The sequence below is a fragment of the Homo sapiens genome, chromosome 8 (genome assembly GCF_000001405.40).
Source record: "Homo sapiens chromosome 8, GRCh38.p14 Primary Assembly".
In the NCBI taxonomy this organism is placed as follows: domain Eukaryota; kingdom Metazoa; phylum Chordata; class Mammalia; order Primates; family Hominidae; genus Homo; species Homo sapiens.
In genome coordinates, this window is record NC_000008.11 from 14,429,574 (window position 1) to 14,451,433 (window position 21,860).

At 35.9% G+C, this 21,860-nt stretch overlaps 1 protein-coding gene across 4 annotated transcripts in view, besides 1 other annotated feature; it reads right to left on the reverse strand.

Annotated features, from left to right (window-relative positions):
* Window positions 1-21,860, reverse strand: part of SGCZ (sarcoglycan zeta) — a 1,153,587-nt gene that overhangs the window by 344,729 nt on the left and 786,998 nt on the right. The window lies entirely within an intron of this gene.
* Window positions 3,098-3,267: an enhancer, noted in NCBI's record as "experimental_102166 CRE fragment used in MPRA reporter constructs". NCBI's record gives its function as "activates a minimal promoter by MPRAs in K562 erythroleukemia cells, with activity observed for both the introgressed and non-introgressed 8:14290265 variant alleles {active_cell/tissue: K562}" and the evidence as "EXISTENCE:reporter gene assay evidence [ECO:0000049][PMID:34662402]".

Here is a 21,860-nt window from a genome sequence, read left to right on the forward strand (position 1 = left end):
TGAATATGACCTTATTTGTAAATATCTTCTTTGCAGATGAAACTAAGTTAAGGATTTTAAGATGAGATCATAATGGATTTAGAGTCGGCTCTAAAATCAATGACTAGCGTGGCTAATCGTCCTTAGAAGAAGAGGACAAAACACAGTTCTACCATTTGATAGCTGTGTGATCTCGGCCAGCATATTTACATTTGTAAACAAAGTTTTCTTGGACTTGTTTTTTTTTTAGTGGTAATTTATTTATTGCCATTTCAATCTTGCTGCATGTTACTGATCTGTTAAGGGTATCTAATTCTTCCTGATATAAGCTAGGAAGTTTGCATCTTTCCAGGAATGTATCTATCTCCTCTAGTTTTCTAATTTGTGCACATAAAGGTATTCATAGTAGTCTTGAACGATTTTTTGTATTTCTGTGGTGTCAGCTGTAATATCTCCCATTTCATTTCTAATTGAGCTTATTTAGATTTTCTTTCTTCTTTTCTCGGTTAATCTGGCCAGTGGTCTCCAAGACCAGACAGATTCACAGCAGAATTCTGCAAGACATTCAAAGAATTGATATCAATTCCATTGACACTATTCCCACAAGATAGAGAAAGAGGGAATCCTCCCTACATCATTCTATGAAGCCAGTATCACCCTAATACCAAAACCAGGAAAGGACATAAACAAAAAAGAAACCTACAGACCACTATCCCTAATGAACATAGGTGCTAAAATCCTTAACAAAATACTAGCTTCCTGTATCCAACAACATATCAAAAAGATAATTCACCATAATCAAGTGGGTTTCATACCAGGGATGCAGTAATGGTTTAACATATACAAGTCAATAAATGTAATACACCACATAAACAGAATCAAAACCAAAAATGACATGATCATGTCATCAGATGCAGAAAAAGCATTGGACAAAATCCAGCAAACTTTATGACGAAAACTCTCAGCAAAATCTGCATACAAGTGACCTATTTCAATGTAATAAAAGCCCCGTATAACAAACCCACGGCCAACATAATACGGAATGGGGAAAAGTTGAAAACGTTCCCTCTGAGAACTGGAATGAGACAAGGATGCCCACTCTCGCCACTCCTCTTCAACACAGTACTTGAAGTTCTAGTCAGAGCAACCAGACAAGAGAAAGAAATAAAGGGCATCCAAATCGGAAAAGAGAAAGTCAAAATGTCGTTGTTTACTGATAATATCATTGTTTATCTAGAAAACCCCAAAGACTCCTCCGTAAAGCTCCTAGAACTTACGTAAGAATTCAGCAAAGTTTCCGGATACAAAATTAATGTACACAAATCAGTAGCTTTTCTGTACACCAACAGCGACCAAGCTGAGAATCAAATCAAGAACTCAACCCCTTTACAACAGCTGCAAAAAATTAAAATACTTAGGAATACACCTAACCAAGGAGGTGAAAGACCTGTACAAGGAAAACTACAAAACACTGCTGAAAGACATCATAGATGTCACAAATTGAAACACATCCCATGCTCATGGATGAGTAGAATCAATATTGTGAAAATGACCTCACTATCAAAAGCAATCTACAAATTCAATGCAATTGCCATCAAAATACCACAACCATTCTTCACATAATGAGGAAAAACAATCCTAAAATTCATATGGAATCAAAAAAGAGCCTACATAGCCAAAGCAAGACTAAAGAAAAAGAACAAAGCTGGAGGCATCACATTACCTGATTTCAAATGATACTATAAGATCTTATTCACCCGAATAGCATGGTACCAGTATAAAAATATGCACATAGACCAAAGGAACAGAATGGAGAACCCAGAAATAAATCCAAATACTTAGAGCCAAGTGATCTTTGACAAAGCAAACAAAGACATGAAGTGGGGAGAAGACACCCTATTCAACAATTAGTGCTGGGAAAATTGGCCAGCCACATGTAGGAGAATGAAACTGGATCTTCACCTCTCACCTTATACAAAAATCAACTCAAGATGGATCAAGAACTTCCATCTAAGACTTGAAACTATAAAAATTCTAAAAGACATCAGAGAAACTCTTCTTGACATTGGCTTAGGCAGGAATTTCATGACAAAGAACCCAAAATCAAATGCAATAAACATAAAGATAAATAGCTGGGACTTAATTAAATGAAAGAACTTTTGCACGGCAAAAAGAACAGTTAGTAAAAAGACAACCCACAGAGCGGGAGAAAATCTTCACAATCTATACATCTGACAATGGACTAATATCCAGAATCTACAACCAACTCAACCAAATTAGCAAGAATAAAACAATCCCATCAAAAAGTGGGCTAAGGATATGAATACACAGTTCTTAAAAGAAGATACACCAATGGCCAACAAACATATGAAAAAATGCTCAACATCACTAATGATCTGGGAAATGCAAATCAAACCACAATGCGATATCACCTTACTCTTGCAAGAATGGCTATAATCCAAAAATTAAAAAAAATAATAGATGCTGGTATGGATGTGGTGAACAGGGAACACTTCTACCCTGCTGGTGGGAATGTAAACTAATATAACCACTACGGAAAACACTGTGGAGATTCTTTGAAGAACTAAAAGTAGAACTACCATTTGATCCAGCAATCCCACTACTGGGTATCTACCCAGAGGAAAATATGTCATTATACAAAAAGATACTTGCACAGAGATGTTTATAGTAGCACAATTCGCAATTGCAAAAATGTGGAAAAACCCAAATGCCCATCGATCAACAAATAGATAAAGAAACTGTGGTACATACATATGATGGAATACTACTTAGCCATAAAAAGGAATGAAATAATGGCATTTGCAGTGACCTCGATGAGACTGGAGACTATAACTCTAAGTGAAGTAACTCAGGAATGGAAAACTAAACAACCTATGCTCTCATTCATAAATGGGAACTAAGCTATGCATATGCAAAGGCATAAGTATGACACAATGGACTTTGGGGACTCAGGGTAAAGGGTGAGAAGGGGGTGAGGGATACTGCAAATTGAGTGCAGTGTATACTGCTCGGGTGATGGGTGCACCAAAATCTCACAAATCCCTACTAAAGAACTTACAGCAGGGCGCATTGGCTCACGCCTGTAATCCCAGCACTTTGGGAGGCTGAGGCGGGCCGATCACCTGAGGTCGGGAGTTCGAGACCAGCCTGGCCAACGTGGTGAAACTCTATTTCTGCTAAAAATACAAAAATTAGCCAGGCGTGGTGGAGGGCAACTGCAGTCCCAGCTACTTGGGAGGCTGAGGCAGGAGAATCACTTGAACCCAGGAGGAGGAGGTTGCAGTAAGCCAAGATCGTGCTACTGCACTCCAGCCTGGGCAAAAGAGTGAGACTGTGTCTCCAAAAAAAAAAAAAAAAAAAAAAAAAAAAGCTTACTCATGTAACCAAACACCACCTGTTCTCCAATAACCTATGGAAACAAAACAAAACTAAAGAAAAAAAACATTGTTTCTCAAACTTAAAAATGAAAAGCAAACAACAAACAAAAAATATATGGCTTTCTTCAAGTATAAATAAAGGAATTTCACAAACATGTTACATATGTGGAAAATAAAATTGCAGTTATTCTTATTACAATTAGTATGCAACAAAAATATTAACATTTTATTGGGAAATGCTACCTGGGATTAAGCAACTGCAAAAAAGTTGCAGCTGCCCAAAGTTTGCCTGCAATCTGAATAAAGATAACATTTAAACAATACAATTGTTTTATTACTTGTCCGTTTAACACCTGTAGTGATTAAGTGTCCACTCTGTGCTAGATATTAGTGATATACGGATAATTAAGATACTTTGCCTTTCAGTAGGAACCACCACAATGAATTGTTTATTGCAATCATTTGGTAAGAACTAAAACTAGGTTATATGCAATGCATATTGGTGAGAAAAAGGAAAAAATCATCAACTCTACTGTGCTGAGATATCTGGAAAACTTCACTTTAACAACAGGTAGAAATGTAACTTACAAAATGAGTTGACCAAGGCCCCAAACTAATCTGCCATTATGATCTTCCATCATTGCATCTAATTTCTTGATGGATAATTCACTTAACCCTTTTCCTATTTAGAAAAAAAAATAAAAAAGGTGCAGCTTGTTGCCAATGCTCACATAATTTTACATAAACACGCTCTCTGAGGGTGAAGCAAATCTGATTTTCAATGTGAAAATAAAATATAAACATTGTTCTTGGAATTATTTCTAAGCAGTACTAACATCAGAATTGTCTGAATAAACTGAAATGTCCGTTTTGGAAAACACTGGATTCATCAAATGAATCTTCAGGCAACAACTGTTTGAGAATGATGTTAATGTCACCCATAGGAATGCTACATTTTCTAAGAGTTGACATTTTCAGTGATCAAGAATTACTATATTTTACCATGCAAAAGCTCTTTCGTTTAAGTCCCAGCTATTTATTTTTATTTTTACTGCATTTGATTTTGGGTTCTTGGTCATGAAATCCTTGCCTAAGCCAATGTGTAGAAGGGTTTTTCCGATGTTATGTTATAGAATTTTTATAGTTTTAGGTCTTAGATTTAAGTCCTTAATCCATCTTGAGTTGATTTTTGCATAAGCTGAGAGATGAGGACCCAGTTTCATTCTCCTACATGTGGCTTGCCAATGATCCCAGCACCATTTGTTGAATAGGGTGTCCTTTCTCCACTTCATGTTTTGTTTGCTTTGTCAAAGATCAGTTGGCTGTAAGCATTTGGGTTTATTTCTGGGTTCTGTATTCTGATCCATTGGTCTATGTGCCTATGTTTATACTAGCACTATGCTCTTTGGGTGACTGTGGCCTTATAGTATCATTTGAAATCAGGTAATGGGATGCCTCCAGATTTGTTCTTTTTGTTTAGTCTTGCTTAGACCATGTCGGCTGTTTTTGGGTTCCATATGAATTTTAGGATTGCTTTTCCTAATTGTGTGAAGAATGGTAGTGGTATTTTGATGGCAATTGCATTGAATCTGTAGATTGCTTTTGGCAGTGTGGTCATTTTCACAATATTGATTCTACCCACCCATGAGAATAGGATGTGTTTCAATTTGTTTGTGTCATCTATGATGTCTTTCAGCAGTGTTTTGTAGTATTCCTTGTAGGGGTCTTTTACCTCCTTGGCTAGGTATAGTTCCAAATATTTTAATTTTTTTTGCAACAGCTATTGTAAAAGAAGTTGAGTTCTTGATTCTCAGCTTGGTCACTGTTAGTTAGCTAGGCACGGTAACGCATGCCTGCAGTCCCAGCTACTATGGAGCCTGAGGTAGGACAATCGCTTGAGCCTAGGAGGTCAAGGCTACATGTAGTGAGCTGTGATCGTGCCACTGCACTCAAGTGGAGAGCAAGTCCTCACCAGACACCACATCTTTTGGGGAGTTGATCTTAGACTTCTCAGCCTCCAAAATGGTAAGAAATAAATTTGTGTTCATTATTTAAAAAAATAATTACCAATTTTGTTAATACTAAAACCAGAATGCTATAATTAGAATGATGTATTTTGCCCTCAAAGTCGATATACTAGAGCAATGCAAAAATATTAATAAAAGCGTGATATTTTGTGACAAAGTTATCTCAGGGCAAACGCTGCAGCTGCAATCACCACCGATATGGATTCTCAGGCAAACTGTAAAACGGTTAAATTTAATATCTTGCATATTGCCATTATATTATTCATGATGTTCCCTTTGCCTTGAATGTTCAACATCTCCTCACTCCTTTGTTCACCTATTAAAATCCCAATCATCATTTAGGGTTCATTTCAATAATCCCATAGTCTTAGCAGAATCTATTGTTCCAGTCTTTGATCTCCCAAGCACTTGTGCAACTGAAGCAATAGTCACATAGCATTAGTTTTAATTGTTTACACACATGGCTCCCTTCTCTTGAATTTTTTTCACTCCTGTTTGTTCTTATATCCCTTTACCCCAATCATGCGATCATATACTTATGTTAAAGTGAGATCAATGGAAATTTTTTCAATAAAGCAACTTCTGAGCCACGATAGTAAGTCAGCACAAAGATAGCATGGCCTATATCTACAATACTATAATATATATGTACAGATTCAAAAGTATTCTTTATGATACTAAACATTCAAAAGACTGGCATTAGATGCTGGAATATGGTGAAGTGTTTTATAAATCTCAAAGTAGACATTTGAATATGATTAATGAAATACACATATGACTAAACTGCAAATACGTGAACTTGTTAACTCATTGATGTGCTACACAATACTCAATCATCGTATTTATTTAACAGGGCTAGCCCATGCTCTAGCCAACATAAAAAGGCTTCAGTTTATTGTTATAAATATGTATCCTGTTGGGAGCATGTAGTACACTCCAAAGGGTAACTGAACAAAGAATAATGAAAGGAAAATTGCCAAAAGTGTTTCAATGCTCCTAGGACCAGCTAGGTATGGGGAAACATAAAGGAAGTAGGATTACTAAGCAGGTATTATTTCTCCTAACCCTGACCTATAGCCATGATGAGAGATGTGGCGTTGGATAGAGAAATGCAGTGGATGTCAAACTTCTGTCTAGCAGGAAGGGAGCGAGAGAATAAACACCGTGATGTTTCGATCCTCTGCCCCGACCTCTTGCCAGTGTTCCTATTGGCCAAATCCACTGGAAGCCAATGAGCCACGGAACTCGTGGCACAGACCCTGGCGATGAGCCTCTTGAATCACAGAGCAGGGAGGAGAAAGGAGAGGACAGATCTGTAAGAGCGAAGAATAATATTCAGCGCATATTAAAAGTAGTGAAATTTAAGGTTTGTGTTCTTTGTTCTTCGCATGAACTTTATTTTTTTCTGAGTTAGCAATCTTCTCCAAAATTAATAACAATACATTCAGGATAATCTAGCCCACTGTATGCAAAGTGTGGGCCATACACTTTTAAGACACTTTTAAGGGATTTGTGAGGTCAAAATTATTTTTATAGTGGTAGTAAGACCATATTTATCTTTTACTTGAGTTGTCATTTGCACGGATGGTGCAAAAGCAATGCTGGCAGTACCAAAGGCACAAGCACTAACCGTCCTAGTAGCCATTACATTCTTCACTGTTAGGATCCTGCAAGATGAAGTGTTTCTCTTTAGACTGTCATTCGCACTGCAGTAACAGTTACTAATTTCATTAAATCTTGACCTCTGAGTACACCTGTTTTTTAATGACAAGTATGGAATATTTGCAAAGCATTTCTGCTTTAGTACATTGGTGGTTTAGAGGAAAAGCACTTGTGTGATTTAGCTGAAACCTGAACTCACCACTTCTTTGTTGGAAAACTGACAAAATATGGTTATTCAGGCTTGGGATTTTATTAGAAATTTTCTAAAGAAATAAAGCTTTTCCCTTTGAGCTCAAAAACTGGCAGTATTTGTTGATGAAGATGAAAATCCAAACTTTTAAGCAAAAGCCAGAATTTTGAAATAGATTCATCCTTTACCAGGAGCGGGTTAGACTCCCAGAATTAAAATACTTTTCAAATGAGACTTTTGGTGATATTAGCATGTGATTTTTATATTATAAAATAGAATTTGTCAACATTTGGAAATTCTGCATGACTCGGAACACTGATATTTACAAAATTTTTAAAATTTCCAGTGAATAGGATTACAAAATCATGATTATGCAATGGATCTGGCAGAAAAGCAAGACAGACCAACGGATTTTAACGAAACCAATTCGAAAATATTTAATGAAATAATTTCTTATACCACATTGAAAGAAAACTTTAATAAATTACCACTTGTCAAGTTTTGCTGTAGTATCACAGAATATCCACAATTATCTGAAAGCCATTCCTTCCTTTTCCAACTTTCTTCAAACACTTCAAACAAAACATCATATTGCAATAGAAACAAATGTGTCATCTATTAAGCATACATTAAAGAAATCTGCAAACTGAAAAACAGTAACGTTCTTCTGAGTCAATATTTTCAAGCAATACATTTTTCATAAAATAGGTTATTTATGTTAGTATTTACTGGGTTTACTATTATTTTTCAACAAAGAAAAATTTTCTGTTTTAATTTTTAATAAATATCAAAGAGCATAAGCAAAAGTTCTTCAGAATCCTCAATAACATTAAAGACTTCAAAAGGGACCTGAGACCATCATGTTTAGAATTGATAAATAAAAATTTATATTTCATATAATATTGTATTAAAATTTTTATTGTTGCCTGACTAAAAATAAGTGTAATTTTATTTTTACATTTTGTGCATTCAACATTTCATGCATTTAATAAAAATTTATAATTTTAATATAAGGATTTGTGGCTTTTGTATAATATCATATGAAGTAATATCTCAAAAATCACTGACCTATTTCATAGATGTAAAGCTAGATGATTACCGATTTGTGTTGTAAATAGTTTGGCATATAAAATCTAGAATTTATTCAAATAGCCTCCGAGAAATTTTATGAGCATTGTAATTTAGAATCATTAAGCCATAAACTACTTTCTCAAATGGTTACGCATGGTAAATAAATCTTTCCTATCATATAATTGATGGGTATTTTAGAGCCAACGCTGAATAATATTACCAAAGATTCTAAAGGAACACAATAGCTGTTAATTTCAAACTTTAGCATGTTGTAAAAATAAGGTGGATGAGAAGTTTATACCTGCTTAATCACTAAGAATCAGTTCTAGATGATTAAGTTCTAAAAGGAATCATGGAATTCTCTTATTTTATATATTCATAATTTTAGAAGAAAAAGGTCAATAGAGTGTATTTATCACAAATTATAAGTATTACACACATTTTCTGAAATGGAAATCTTTAGACATGTTGGTCTTAGACGTCATAATTCACTCTTTGTTTTCACACCCAAATTATGATACTTATTATTAATTTTCTAGGGAGAGAAAATTAATATTATGCCTTACTAACTGAAGAGTTCAATAACTGTGGCTCTCTCTATTCAATTCTATTCTAGACTTGTACATGCTTGGAGAACCTATGGAGTCAAACACCATGAAAAAGCATAAAAAGTGTTCCTAGAGGGAATTAGGAAAGAAAAATTGATTTGTAATGGAAATTACTGTTGAATAATTTGGATAAATTTTGTATTAAAATGTAAACCAGTATCCCATCAGATATTTCATGAGGCTAAAATAAGATTTTTCAGTAATACTTAATTTTAATTTTTTTAAATCTGAGAAATAGCTTAAAATATCACTGTAACATTATATTAATTAATAAATAGAAAACCATGATAATTTTAATTATACCTTAACATCATATTCTTCGACTCAAAGCCCTATTAGCCTGTCATTTTCAAGGAAAATAACATTCTTTTAAATGACAGAGAGTATATTATAATGATCTTGTAAGAGAAGTATTCTGTTTTCCTTTTTAAAACACCTTTAGAATTCAAAAATAATTTTTGTAAATCTTTGAAGACATGAGATGATTATAATGCAGGATCTTTCACGAAGCTTCCTCTGCAAAGGTTTATTACAGATGCCAAGTACTAACCCTGCCTAGTGGCAATATTAGCTTCTTGATAACATCAAGGAGGAAAAGATTCGATTCCCCTATGGGCTCTGCCTTTGACCGTGATACATTTGTTAAAGGGAAGAATTATTTGTAGTAAGAAAATGCATTTAAAAATACTGACTTAGGATTTTTTGTAAGATCATTAGGACTTTTTATTATATTTTTAGGAGTTTTTGGCTTGGTATTGTTGCTAACAGTCCCTTGATTAAAGAAAATATATAGAAGAAAGAAATATATATATATATATATATCTCCTCATGGATTTTCTGGAAATTTCTATCAAACATTAAAACAATTAACAAATTTTACACAATTTCTACTAGAAAATACAAGAGTAAACATTCCCCAATTTTATAAATTTAATATTACTCAGATGCCAAAATCAGACCAAGACAGTACAAAAACAGAAAACACATATCAATATTCCTCATAAGTACAGACCCAACAATCTTTCCCAAAATATTAGCAAAGGGAATTCGTAATATATAAAAGACATTCACCATTAATAAACAGGGAGGTTTCCATGAATGCAAGCTTAGCTCCATATTAAAAAAATCAATCAATATAATCCGTAGTATAAACCAAAGAAGAAAAATTACATTATCATATGAACTGATAGAGAATAAAATTGACAAATTAACACAAATTTGTGGTAATAACTCTTAGGAAACAGAAATTGAGGGGAACTACCTTACCATGATAAACAGTATCTATAGGAAGCCTGGAACTTATATTATGCTTAATGATGAAACACTGCTTTCTCATCTTTTGGGCCTCCTCACATAATTCAGTCACATTTTCACAGTTAACTATTCTGTGTCCAATCCATTATATTGGTAACTGACTTAAACTGCTTTCCCTAATATTTGGTTCACGGACTTCTTGAGATTACATATTAGGGACAAAAAAAATTTTAACTAAAAAAAAAAATTAGCCTCATAAATTTAACCTTAAAAACATTTAGCCTTGTTGCATTTTGCCATAAATATGATTTAGGTCCAACTGTGTTCTTATAAGCCAGTGAATGTATATTACTTTATTTTACTCATGTCTCATTTTTTGATAAAAACTACAAGGTGTTTGTTTTTGTTTGCCCAAGAATTTTTTAAAATTTTTTGCCTATATGTCATAGATATATGATATTTTTCTATCAAAAGATATAAAAGAGCTCTATTTGACTTGGGAAAAATTAAGTGCTTCAACAAAATATTTTCTTAAAAATATGCTAAATAATTCACTTCTTTGTTCATGTAGCTTAAGGAAATCTTAGATAAATAAGTTAATTTTGAATTTGGTGATAAAACAAAAATAAAGTGGTCTTCAACATTATTACATTTTGTCACACTTTTTTCCGCCTGGGTTTGTTGGCCAGAACACAATGAAGTTTCCATCGTTTCCTGTGTGTTTACCACAACAATTTAACTCTTAGGTTTTTATTTTATTTTAAGAGAAAAATAAAATCATCACTAGCTTCATCTAATATCTCTATTTTCATAAGTCACCTATGTGTAATTGTTAAAATTGTTAAATAATTGTCCAAAAATATAAAGGCAAAATGATTGTTCATATACATGTATATATGTGTCTGTATGTATATACATACGTATACACGTATATGTATATATGTATATACATACGTATACACGTATATGTATATATGTATATACATACGTATACACGTATATGTATATATGTATATACATACGTATACACGTATATGTATATATGTGTATACACATGCATATATACATACATATATGTGTACATATATGTACACACACACACACACACACGCACACACATACATGAGTAAGACTAGGGGTTTACGTAAATTTCATTAGATCTCCTGTTAGTAAGTCTAAGAAAGTCATGGAGACTTTATGAAGGATAGGCTTTGAAAAGGGGGTTTTGTGTGTGATTGCGTTGACTGAGATTGAAGAAGTATGATTTATCATTTTTTTCTAAAAATTAAGCAGTCACTTCAGGGGTGCACTGATACAGGACCGAAGTCTGGTCCTCTATGCTTAAAACTCCAAGATTTTCTTCCAATATTCATCTGCTCTTAGTAAAAAATTTACAATCAGTTTTTATTTTAATTTGAAAACTTGTTTCTGTAAACTTTAAATCATCTCCCAAATTACAGATTTTCCTCTTTTTAGTTTCTACCTAATTTCCAGTTGTAGGTGCTGTCTCCTTCATTTAAAACAATCATTTTGGCCGGGGACAGTGGCTCACGCCCGTAATCCCAGCACTTTGGGAGGCCAAGACAGGTGGATCACGAGGTCAAGAGATTGAGGCCATCCTGTCCAACATGGTGAAACCCCGTCTCTACTGAAAATACAAAAATTAGTTGGGCGTGGTGGCACGCACGGGTAATCCCAACTACTCAGGAGGCTAAGGCAGGAACATCACTTGAACCTGGGAGGTGGAGGTTGCAGTAAGCCAAGATCACGTCACTGCACTCCAGCCTGGTGATAGAGCAAGACCCCATCTCAAAAATAAAACAAAATAAAATAAAAGATAAAATGATCATTTCATTTCTGGAGTTAGAGTTCTCCTCTCAAGGCTTTTCAGATTCATATCTCAAGGGTTTGGCTTTGTACGCATCTCACCACATGTAATTTGCAGTTAATACATCAATGACTTGTGCTCTTCTTACTTCTCTCCTTAAAACGGTACATCATTTTGCTTAACTCAAGTGGTGACTTTCTCCTTTAACTTTTTTGTCAGTTTCTATAGCTTTTTTTAACCCCACCTCTGACTCTGGTATTCTGACCTGACACTGAGAATGTTTGTCTTAAAGGCCTGGGAGAAAAATGTTTTTCCAGTATGATGTAATTCTTTACTCTTGGCTTTTCTGACGTATCTAAATTGTTCTATGTAACCAGGCCATTTCATATTCTCTTACTTTTTCTGAAAGCCATACATTCCCCTGCTGGGGATAACACTGAGTAAACTGCCCAAGGCCATAACCAGAGACATTCGAATTACAAATTGCTGACTTCATGCTATAAATAGCTTTTCCTGAGATCACTGAAACTTCATAATAAAACTCTTCCCCCTTGATATGGTTTGGCTGTGTCACTACCCAAATCTCAGATTGTAGCTCACAAAATTCCCATGTGTCATGGGAGGTACCTGGTGGCAGGTAATTGAATCATGAGATCCGGTCTTGCCCGTGATATTCTCGTGATAATGAATAAGTATCATGAGATCTGATGGTTTTATAAAAGGGAGTTCCCTTGCACACACTCTCTTGCCTGCTGCCATGTAAGAAGTGACTTTGCTCCTCCTTTACCTTCCACCATGATTGTGAAGCCTCTTCAGCCATGTGGAACTGTGAGTCCATTAAGTCTCTTTTTCTTTATAAATTACCCAGTATCAGGTATGTCTTTAATAGCAGCATGAAAACAAACTAATACACCCTTCTTAATGCCTATGTTTCTTACTTGACAGTACCTGACACTAAAATAAAATTAAATTCACCTGGTGGGTAAGTTTGACAATATGTAACAAAGTTTTGTTCAAATTATGCTAATGGTCCCTTATATAGAGTTGATACTTTCTGCTTTAATCCAACCCAGTGATCTCAGTGATAAAATGCTAGTTAATGACTACAGTAAGTCTCACCCAGTTTCTCCAACATCTTCTGATTTGTTTCATTGATTGACCTTAGGTTTTGGCTCTTCATTCAAAGCCACTGCACAAACTAAATTTGTTTTATTGTTGTTAATTATTTTTTGTATCATTATCTTTAAGCTCTGTTATTATTGTCTGTCTAATCTTAATGAAGCCTGTTTGCAGATGACATGATTGTATATCTAGAAAACCCCATCGTCTCAGCCCAAAATCTCCTTAAGCTGATAAGCAACTTCAGCAAAGTCTCAGGATACAAAATCAATGTACAAAAATCACAAGCATTCTTATAAACCAATAACAGCCAAACAGAGAGCCAAATCATGAGTGAACTCCCATTCACAATTGCTTCAAAGAAAATAAAATACCTAGGAATCCAACTTACAAGGGACATGAAGGACCTCTTCAAGGAGAACCACAAACCACTGCTCAAGGAAATAAAAGACGATAGAAACAAATGGAAGAATATTCCATGCTCATGGGTAGGAAGAATCAATATTGTGAAAATGGCCATACTGCCCAAGGTAATTTATAGATTCAATGCCATCCCCATCAAGCTACCAGTGACTTTCTTCACAGAATTGGAAAAAACGACTTTAAAGTTCATATGGAACCAAAAAAGAGCCCGCATCGCCAAGTCAATCCTAAGCCAAAAGGACAAAGCTGGAGGCATCACACTACCTGACTTCAAACTATACTACAAGGCTACAGTAACCAAAACAGCATGGTACTGGTACCAAAACAGAGATATAGATCAATGGAACAGAACAGAGCCCTCAGAAATAACACCGCATATCTACAACTATCTGATCTTTGACAAACCTGAGAAAAACAAGCAATGGGGAAAGGATTTCCTATTTAAGAAATGGTGCTGGGAAAACTGGCTAGCCATATGTAGAAAGCTGAAACTGGATCCCTTCCTTACACCTTATATAAAAATTAATTCAAGATGGATTAAAGACTGAAACGTTAGACCTAAAACCATAAAAATCCTAGAAGAAAACCTAGGCATTACCATTCAGGACATAGGCATAGGCAAGGACTTCATGTCTAAAACACCAAAAGCCATGGCAACAAAAGACAAAATTGACAAATGGGATCTAATTAAACTAAAGAGCTTCTGCACAGCAAAAGAAACTAACATCAGAGTGAACAGGCAACCTACAGAATGGGAGAAAATTTTTGCAACCTACTCATCTGACAAAGGGCTAATATCCAGAATCTACAATGAACTCAAACAAATTTACAAGAAACAAACAAACAACCCCATCAAAAAGTGGGTGAAGGATATGAACAGACGCTTCTCAAAAGAAGACATTTATGCAGCCAAAAGACACATGAAAAAATGCTCATCATCACTGGCCATCAGAGAAATGCAAATCAAAACCACAATGAGATACCATCTCACACTAGTTAGAATGGCGATCATTAAAAAGTCAGGAAACAACAGGTGCTGGAGAGGTTGTGGAGAAATAGGAACACTTTTACACTGTTGGTGGGACTGTAAACTAGTTCAACCATTGTGGAAGTCAGTGTGGCGATTCCTCAGGGATCTAGAACTAGAAATACCATTTATCCCAGCCTTTCCATTACTGGGTATATACCCAAAGGGCTATAAATCATGCTGCTATAAAGACACATGCACACGTATGTTTATTGCGGCACTATTCACCATAGCAAAGACTTGGAACCAATCCAAATGTCCAACAATGATAGACTGGATCAAGAAAATGTGGCACATATACACCATGGAATACTATGCAGCCATAAAAAATGATGAGTTCATGTCCTTTGTAGGAACATGGATGAAATTGGAAATCATCATTCTCAGTAAACTATCGTAAGAACAAAAAACCAAACACCACATATTCTCACTCACAGGTGGGAATTGAAAAATGAGAACACATGGACACAGGAAGGGGAACATCACACTATGGGGACTGTTGTGGGGTGGGGGGATGGGGGAGGGATAGCTTTAGGAGATATACCTAATGCTAAATGACGAGTTAATGGGTGCAGCACACCCGCATGGCACATGTATACATATGTAACTAACCGGCATATTGGGCACATGTACCCTAAAACTTAAAGTATAATAATAATGAAATAAAATAAAATAAATGAAGCCAGCTCTTAGATCAAAGTTTTGAAATGACTGTTAATACCTGTGGGACTAATAAAACTCAACGCTGGATTCCAAACAAACCTGCTCTGAAAAAAATTTCCTTCTGGCCTCTTTGTTACTCAAATTTGGCCCAAGACGCTTCACTGACTCCATTACTTTCCCCTGATGTAGGACCAGAGACCACTAGGATAGGTCCATCTCAGCACCTAAGGCCAATTAAGCTTGACTTCAAGACAGTTGCTCAGTGGTGATGCTTTCAGAGAAATATCTTGATCCAAAGGGAGAAATGTGAAAGGTGATTATATTAATTGTGAGAGTGGCAGGAGGTAGACAAATGCCTAGGCAGATTAGGACGGGTCCCCAGTAAAACTCCACCTTCAAGCCAAAGTAGCCTGAAACTCGCAGCCCAAAGTGGTAACTTCTATTCCTCTTTGCCTTCTCTCTCCCAGTTGGTTCATTCTAAACAATGTATTTTTACTAATCGAATGTTGCCTTTTCCAAAACTACCTAAGGCCTAACCCACACCTATCCTTTGCCTATAAAGACCCCAGACTCACTTGGTAGAGGGAAGAGACAGCTTGACTTCAGAGGAGAGACACCTGGACTCTGGGGAAGAGGGATGATTTAACTTTGAGGAAGTGGTGACTGGACTTTAAGGAGAAGATGACCTGACTTTGGGGAACACTACTTACCCCACCTGCCCCCTTCTCCAGCTGCCCTCTCCACTGAAAACCATTTCCACCACTCAACAAAATTCTCCCCCATTACCACCCTTTGAGAATCCCATGCCACCTCATTATCCTTGGACATCGAACAAGAGCTCAGGACACATTGACTGTGGGTACCCAAAAATGCTATCACACCAACTATTCATGGTCACTGGCAGAGGGCAGCCTCCCCAGGTGATGTGGCAAGGGGTCAACTGAGCTGTTAGTCTGCAGACAGTGGAGTTAGGAGAGTAATGGAATACTCCCTCTGGTTCTAGCCATGGGTTCCACACAGATCTTGCTCCTGCTGGTGCCCAGAGCTGCCAGCTGGATCCTGCACTCACTAACTCATGCCTGATCTGGCCATCAGCCCCACATGAAGCTTGCTCCTGCTGGATCCTGGAGTGGCTGGCCAGATCCCACACACATTTGCTGATGTGCTCCCTCCTGCAAGGGGTTGAGTGAAGCGAGACAAGTAAAAGTTTGTCCCTGTCATGAGTCTGAAGAAGGGGACAAGAAAAATCCTGAATCAGTTGTGCCATTTTTTCGTACCCAAGTAAGTCATAGTCAATAAGTCAGGGAGAAAAAGCACTCAGGCATATATACCACCAGCTCCAATAACTGAATCTTCAGCAAGCCCAGCTGCTGAAGCAGCCTGCTGTATCCCTAAGACCAAATCTACCTAGTAGCTACTGAAGTGACCTGCTGTGACTCTAACACTGGTTTTACCTACTGCTGTCACTCACCAAAGCTTACCAGCTCCCAAAATCTTCTCTAGTGTCAGTGAGCTTTCTTTCAAAACAATATGTAACATTTCTGTTTCTAATAAACTCCCAATCTTCTCTTTGTGGGTCTGATATATCAAAGACCACCCTGGTTGGCAACTTTGTTCCAAATGACAATTCTCTGATTCCCAAATAAATTGTATAGAGATTCATTTCTATTTTGACTTGAAGAGTGGTAATAAATTCTGATACAATATTCAGAAGTTTGTTTTCCATAACAATACTAAGTCAATTTAGAAAGGCATTTTACTGTGCTACAAAATGCTTAACTTTTCTCCTTCAATGACATTATGTACAATTTTGTCATTAATTTATATGCACTTAAAAATCCTGTATAAGGTTTATATTAGATATAATTTTGTGAGGAAGATAAAAGCTCACCTTTCCATTTGCATTGTGCTGATTCAGACTGTAATTGAGTCTTCATGCACCCTGGTATATACTAAAGTACTAAACAAATGGATAGTAAAAACTAATACGTATATGGACCATTATAGTGTTATTTTTAAAAGCACAAAGAAAACTATTTTAAAAGATCACGAGGAGATTATAGCAGATCAATCTTCATATTCATTACACCAACGAAATATAATTCAACACTAGTTTCAATATATTTTACCAAAAGATTAACTTTCAAGCAAAAGCTTTAGATCTTTGAAAGTAATATAAACATGAAAATAGCAAAGATGCATAATTCATTTCAGCAGTTTTCCGAGAAATACCACATTTTCCAGAAAATATATGTTCTTAGAGTACATGAATTTTCTTTAGTCAATTAAAACACCAACCTTCTACAATAGGCCAAACAATTTTCAAAGCACTAAGCTTATGTTCACTCAACCAGTCTCATGGAACAAAAACTGAGATTGAGATATTCTGTTTATTGCAGTTCACACATTTATCAAGTAAAGAAGTCATCAGTCAAACCAAGATCTTTTCTTGCTAAAGTTGCTGGGATTTCCATGGTGTTTAATGCATGTTTTTTTATTTAATTATGAAATCAAAAAAATACAAATCTTGAGCCATTTTAATATGTTACTTGGGTAAAAAATTCAACTTAATCTTTCCAAACATCTAATGGAATCCCAGGCATAGTGATTTATTAAAATACCAAGTTAAATATTTAAGAGAAAATTAAATCACTAATAATGAAATGAGTTGATTTTCTAAGAAAAACAAGTATGTAATTAAGGAGTCAGTAGGAGACACCCTCAAAAGCATTACAACATTTAAAAGCAATCAACATTACAACTCTTACGCTGTGCTTTAAACTCCCCATAACCTAAACACATACATTCATTAATTATTTACTTGCATGATCCACAATGAAGGATGAATTAGAAAAACCAGAGTCATTATTTTTTAAATGACAGTATTTGGTACTGCAGCAAGAAAATAAGTAGCCAGTGGAATGAAAGACTCCATCTGGCTTTATCTCGGCAATGCTTTGAAGTACATGCAATAAATGACTTTGCATTGTTTGATCTTCTTAATCCTTTACAGCCATCTCTTTGAGATGTCATAATGCACAAGTTCATTCAGACAAAATCACATTATGAAATGCAAATCACCTCATATGACTTATATGGAAAATGTGCTTGTACTTACTTGTACCATCTCAAGCTCTAAGAGCCCAAACGGAAATGTACATAGTGGTGAATTTCCTTTCTGAAGTTAAAATAGTCTGAAATCGGGGTGAAAAAATGATACAAATAACAAAAATGTGTATTCTAAATGAAAATTGGAATTTTCATCGAAATAGTAGCAGTAACAATTAGGAGACAGGAGATGGAATGTAGATGCTAAGAAGATATCCACAAGAAAGCACAAGACTCTAAACGCTCTTGCTACTAAAAGAGAGATTCAAGGTTTACCAACTGCAATATTCTGCTACCAAGTACAGCTTGTACGTGGCCACTGGTACCGTCTAAAATGAGGATACATATTAAGAAATCATCAAAACGAACTGCATGGCAGAAACTTTTCTGATATCAAGAGATCAATTTAACTACAGTTATTTACAGGTGCCAATTTCCTCTGGAGTAAACTGTTACAGTGGGCCTCATGCACCAGTTAGATAATACAAGCCACACTTTACTGCACAGAATCCTGGACTATGCATTTTGGCTTTGCAGAATTGAGAGCAGAAATGTAAAAATAGGATAGTGATATTACTTTTGTCTATGGGAATTGCTGAGTCAAATAACAAAAATCATCTATTTGGGAAAAACCTAACTTCATGATTACACTCAGGCACACCGACTATTAATATGAATGAGGTAACAACCATAAATACAATCATAACCAAAGAACAACAGTAATTCAAGTTTCCTCAGTTCATAAATGTTCTTAGAATGTTTTCTTAGTATGTTAGGTGCTGTTCCCAAGCCTCAGTATAACTCCATGATCGCCGTTGATGCAAAGGCAAACACCACACTCTCCTCAGTTCAACGTCTGCCCTACCAGTCTTTCTGGCCTCTGACTCTTCCCTATACTACTATATATACATTTGATATCTACACTGACATAGCTGGGCGCTGTACTTGTTGATGAGAATATCTCTTCCCTCTTAGACTAGGCATGACCAAAAAAGTTAATCTGGGTCCAAAGATTAATGAGAATGACCACTCAGTTTTTATTCAAGATCAATTTTATTTACTGTGCAAACACAAGTTACATTCCAGACAAACAGATAGAAGTGAAAGGACTTATGCTCTGATGCCTCCTTGGCTCTTCAGGATGCAAAACAAGTCCTGCCAGCAAGTCCCTGCAGCCCAGGCATAGCAAAACATTCGGGGAGGAATTGTGCTGTACAAATGATTTTACCAACCTTATCACATTAAGCAGCATTCAAGGGTTTTCTGACCACAACTTAGGCAAATTTCATGTTATGCTATAGTAATGAACTTACTTGTTCTATTTCTAAACAAAACATTGGGTTCACATTGGCCTGGACAAAGCTTTCCACTCCAGTACTATTTACTTGTCCACTTATTCTCAAAAATACAAGATGAATGATGTGCAATACCATGGCTGTGGCACATGACTTTTCTAGACCTGGATCATTTGTGTCCCAATATTTGACTGATTTTGGGGTGGGATGAAAGCATGCCTTCAGTTTGTACTTCTATCATGCCCATTGCTACCATACACTTAATGACATAATCATGTTCCAATGTGTCCTCAGAATTACTATTCCTAGCTGGATATACTAAGGCTTTATATCTAGGTCAGTTCATTGAGTCTGTGTCCCCTCTACTCCCTCCATCGTCCCTCCACAGTATGAAGCATCCTCATAGGAAGCCTTGTAAGTAGATCTAAAGATAGACCCCGCTTGGCCTTTCACCCTCAAAGATACTCTTCATGCATTAAAGTAAATTTTTGTCTTCCATTTCTGCAGTTGACCAGATGCTAATTGTGGCCATATTCTAGGCTTAAACTGAGAACACCTCTACTCTTTTGGCTTTGGGAACAAAGTACCTGATGTAATGGAAGGTCCAAGAACTGCAACTGAGATGAATTAGTATTGGATTCACCCCACAACCTTCTTCACCATCGTAAACAAAGTAAGAGTGAACAACATCATGTACAAAACTTAACAATATAGACAATATAATGTGAAGAATACAATGTAGCATATAATGGTGCATATATTTAATATAATGCAATGTAATATGATCCAGAACTCTTTTACAGAAGAGAAAAAAACTGTGAAAGTGAAAATGAAAACAAAACTACATATTCAACATATTCATTAAACCAGAAAGAAAACAAAAATCTGCCAATCCTTTTAGACAGAGATGCCATCGTGAATGTCCCATAAGGCCATGGCTGTGTGATGAAGCCAGGCTACACAGAACCCAAACCCTCAACGAGGGTCTCTACTGACAACTTAATTCTCTGTCAGTGAGTGCAATTCATTTCACAACCAAGCATCGTGATTCTTTCTACAAAAACACTCTCATGAATTCCTAATCCTGCAAGTATTGCGGTATGCATATACGTGTTTCATTTCAGCCTCCACAGGAGAATTAACAGAATGAAATGTAGAAATTGGCTTTATAGTCAGCACAGCCCAACATAAAGGGTCAGGAGGGTAATGAGCAGTATTGAATTAACTTGAAAGTGTAAGAGAAAATGTCTGTGTTGAAGTACAGTCATATGCCTTATCGAGAGTGTTCCAGTACCTTTGGTAATAATTTTAAAGTAGCTATAATTTTAGTTAAATGTATCATCTGGAAATCACAACCTCCAGTGATCACTGCTATTTTATAGAATCAGACCAATTTTTTAAAAAAAGTATGAGGATGTGTGCCAGTCAGTAAAACCATACCATAGTGACCACTTAGATTTTAATTTAACCTATTTTAAGATTCTTAGAAAGTTTAAAGCTCTCATCTCTGTCATTATGATGGATTTCTGTGCCATTGCTACAGGGCAAAATCATTTGGAGGAGAGCTCTGAAGTACACACTAAGGACAGAATTACCTGGGCTTCAGCTCTATTTTTCCTGATATGTGTATTCTCTTCAAGGATACTACAAAAGTGGTATTTCAAATCCCTCTAGCAACATCCACTGAAATCATCTTGGGGCAGACAGAATATGGTAGATTTATGAATATTCATAACAGCACATGGCCCATTATGATTCAATGTGCTGTGCAAAATACAGCTGCTTTGCTCCAAAACCACCAGGAGAGCAGAGGGTACTTGTTTTAAGTGGTCCCCAAGGTCAAAACCAGTTAGCAATTTCATAGTTAGGAAATTATTCATCTCACCTTACACGTTAAAAGCAGGGTTTCCTTTAAAGTATTCAGGGATATATAAACCAGCCTCTCTCTTTTCTGCTAACCGTAAACCATTTGAAGAGTGATGAAAACAAAAATAGACTCTGTAGGAAATGTAGCTACCTTTATGTTCTTTATTTTTCTGTCCTACGTTCATTTTTGATGAAAATTTATATCATGAAGGTTCAGTGATCTTAGAATAGAAAAGATGCAGTCTGTCATCAATCTATTGTTAGCAGTGAAATCCAATCTTATTTCAGGGTACAGTGTTACTGAGTGGAAATTTCATTAAACTAAGAAACAGACGGTCTCCT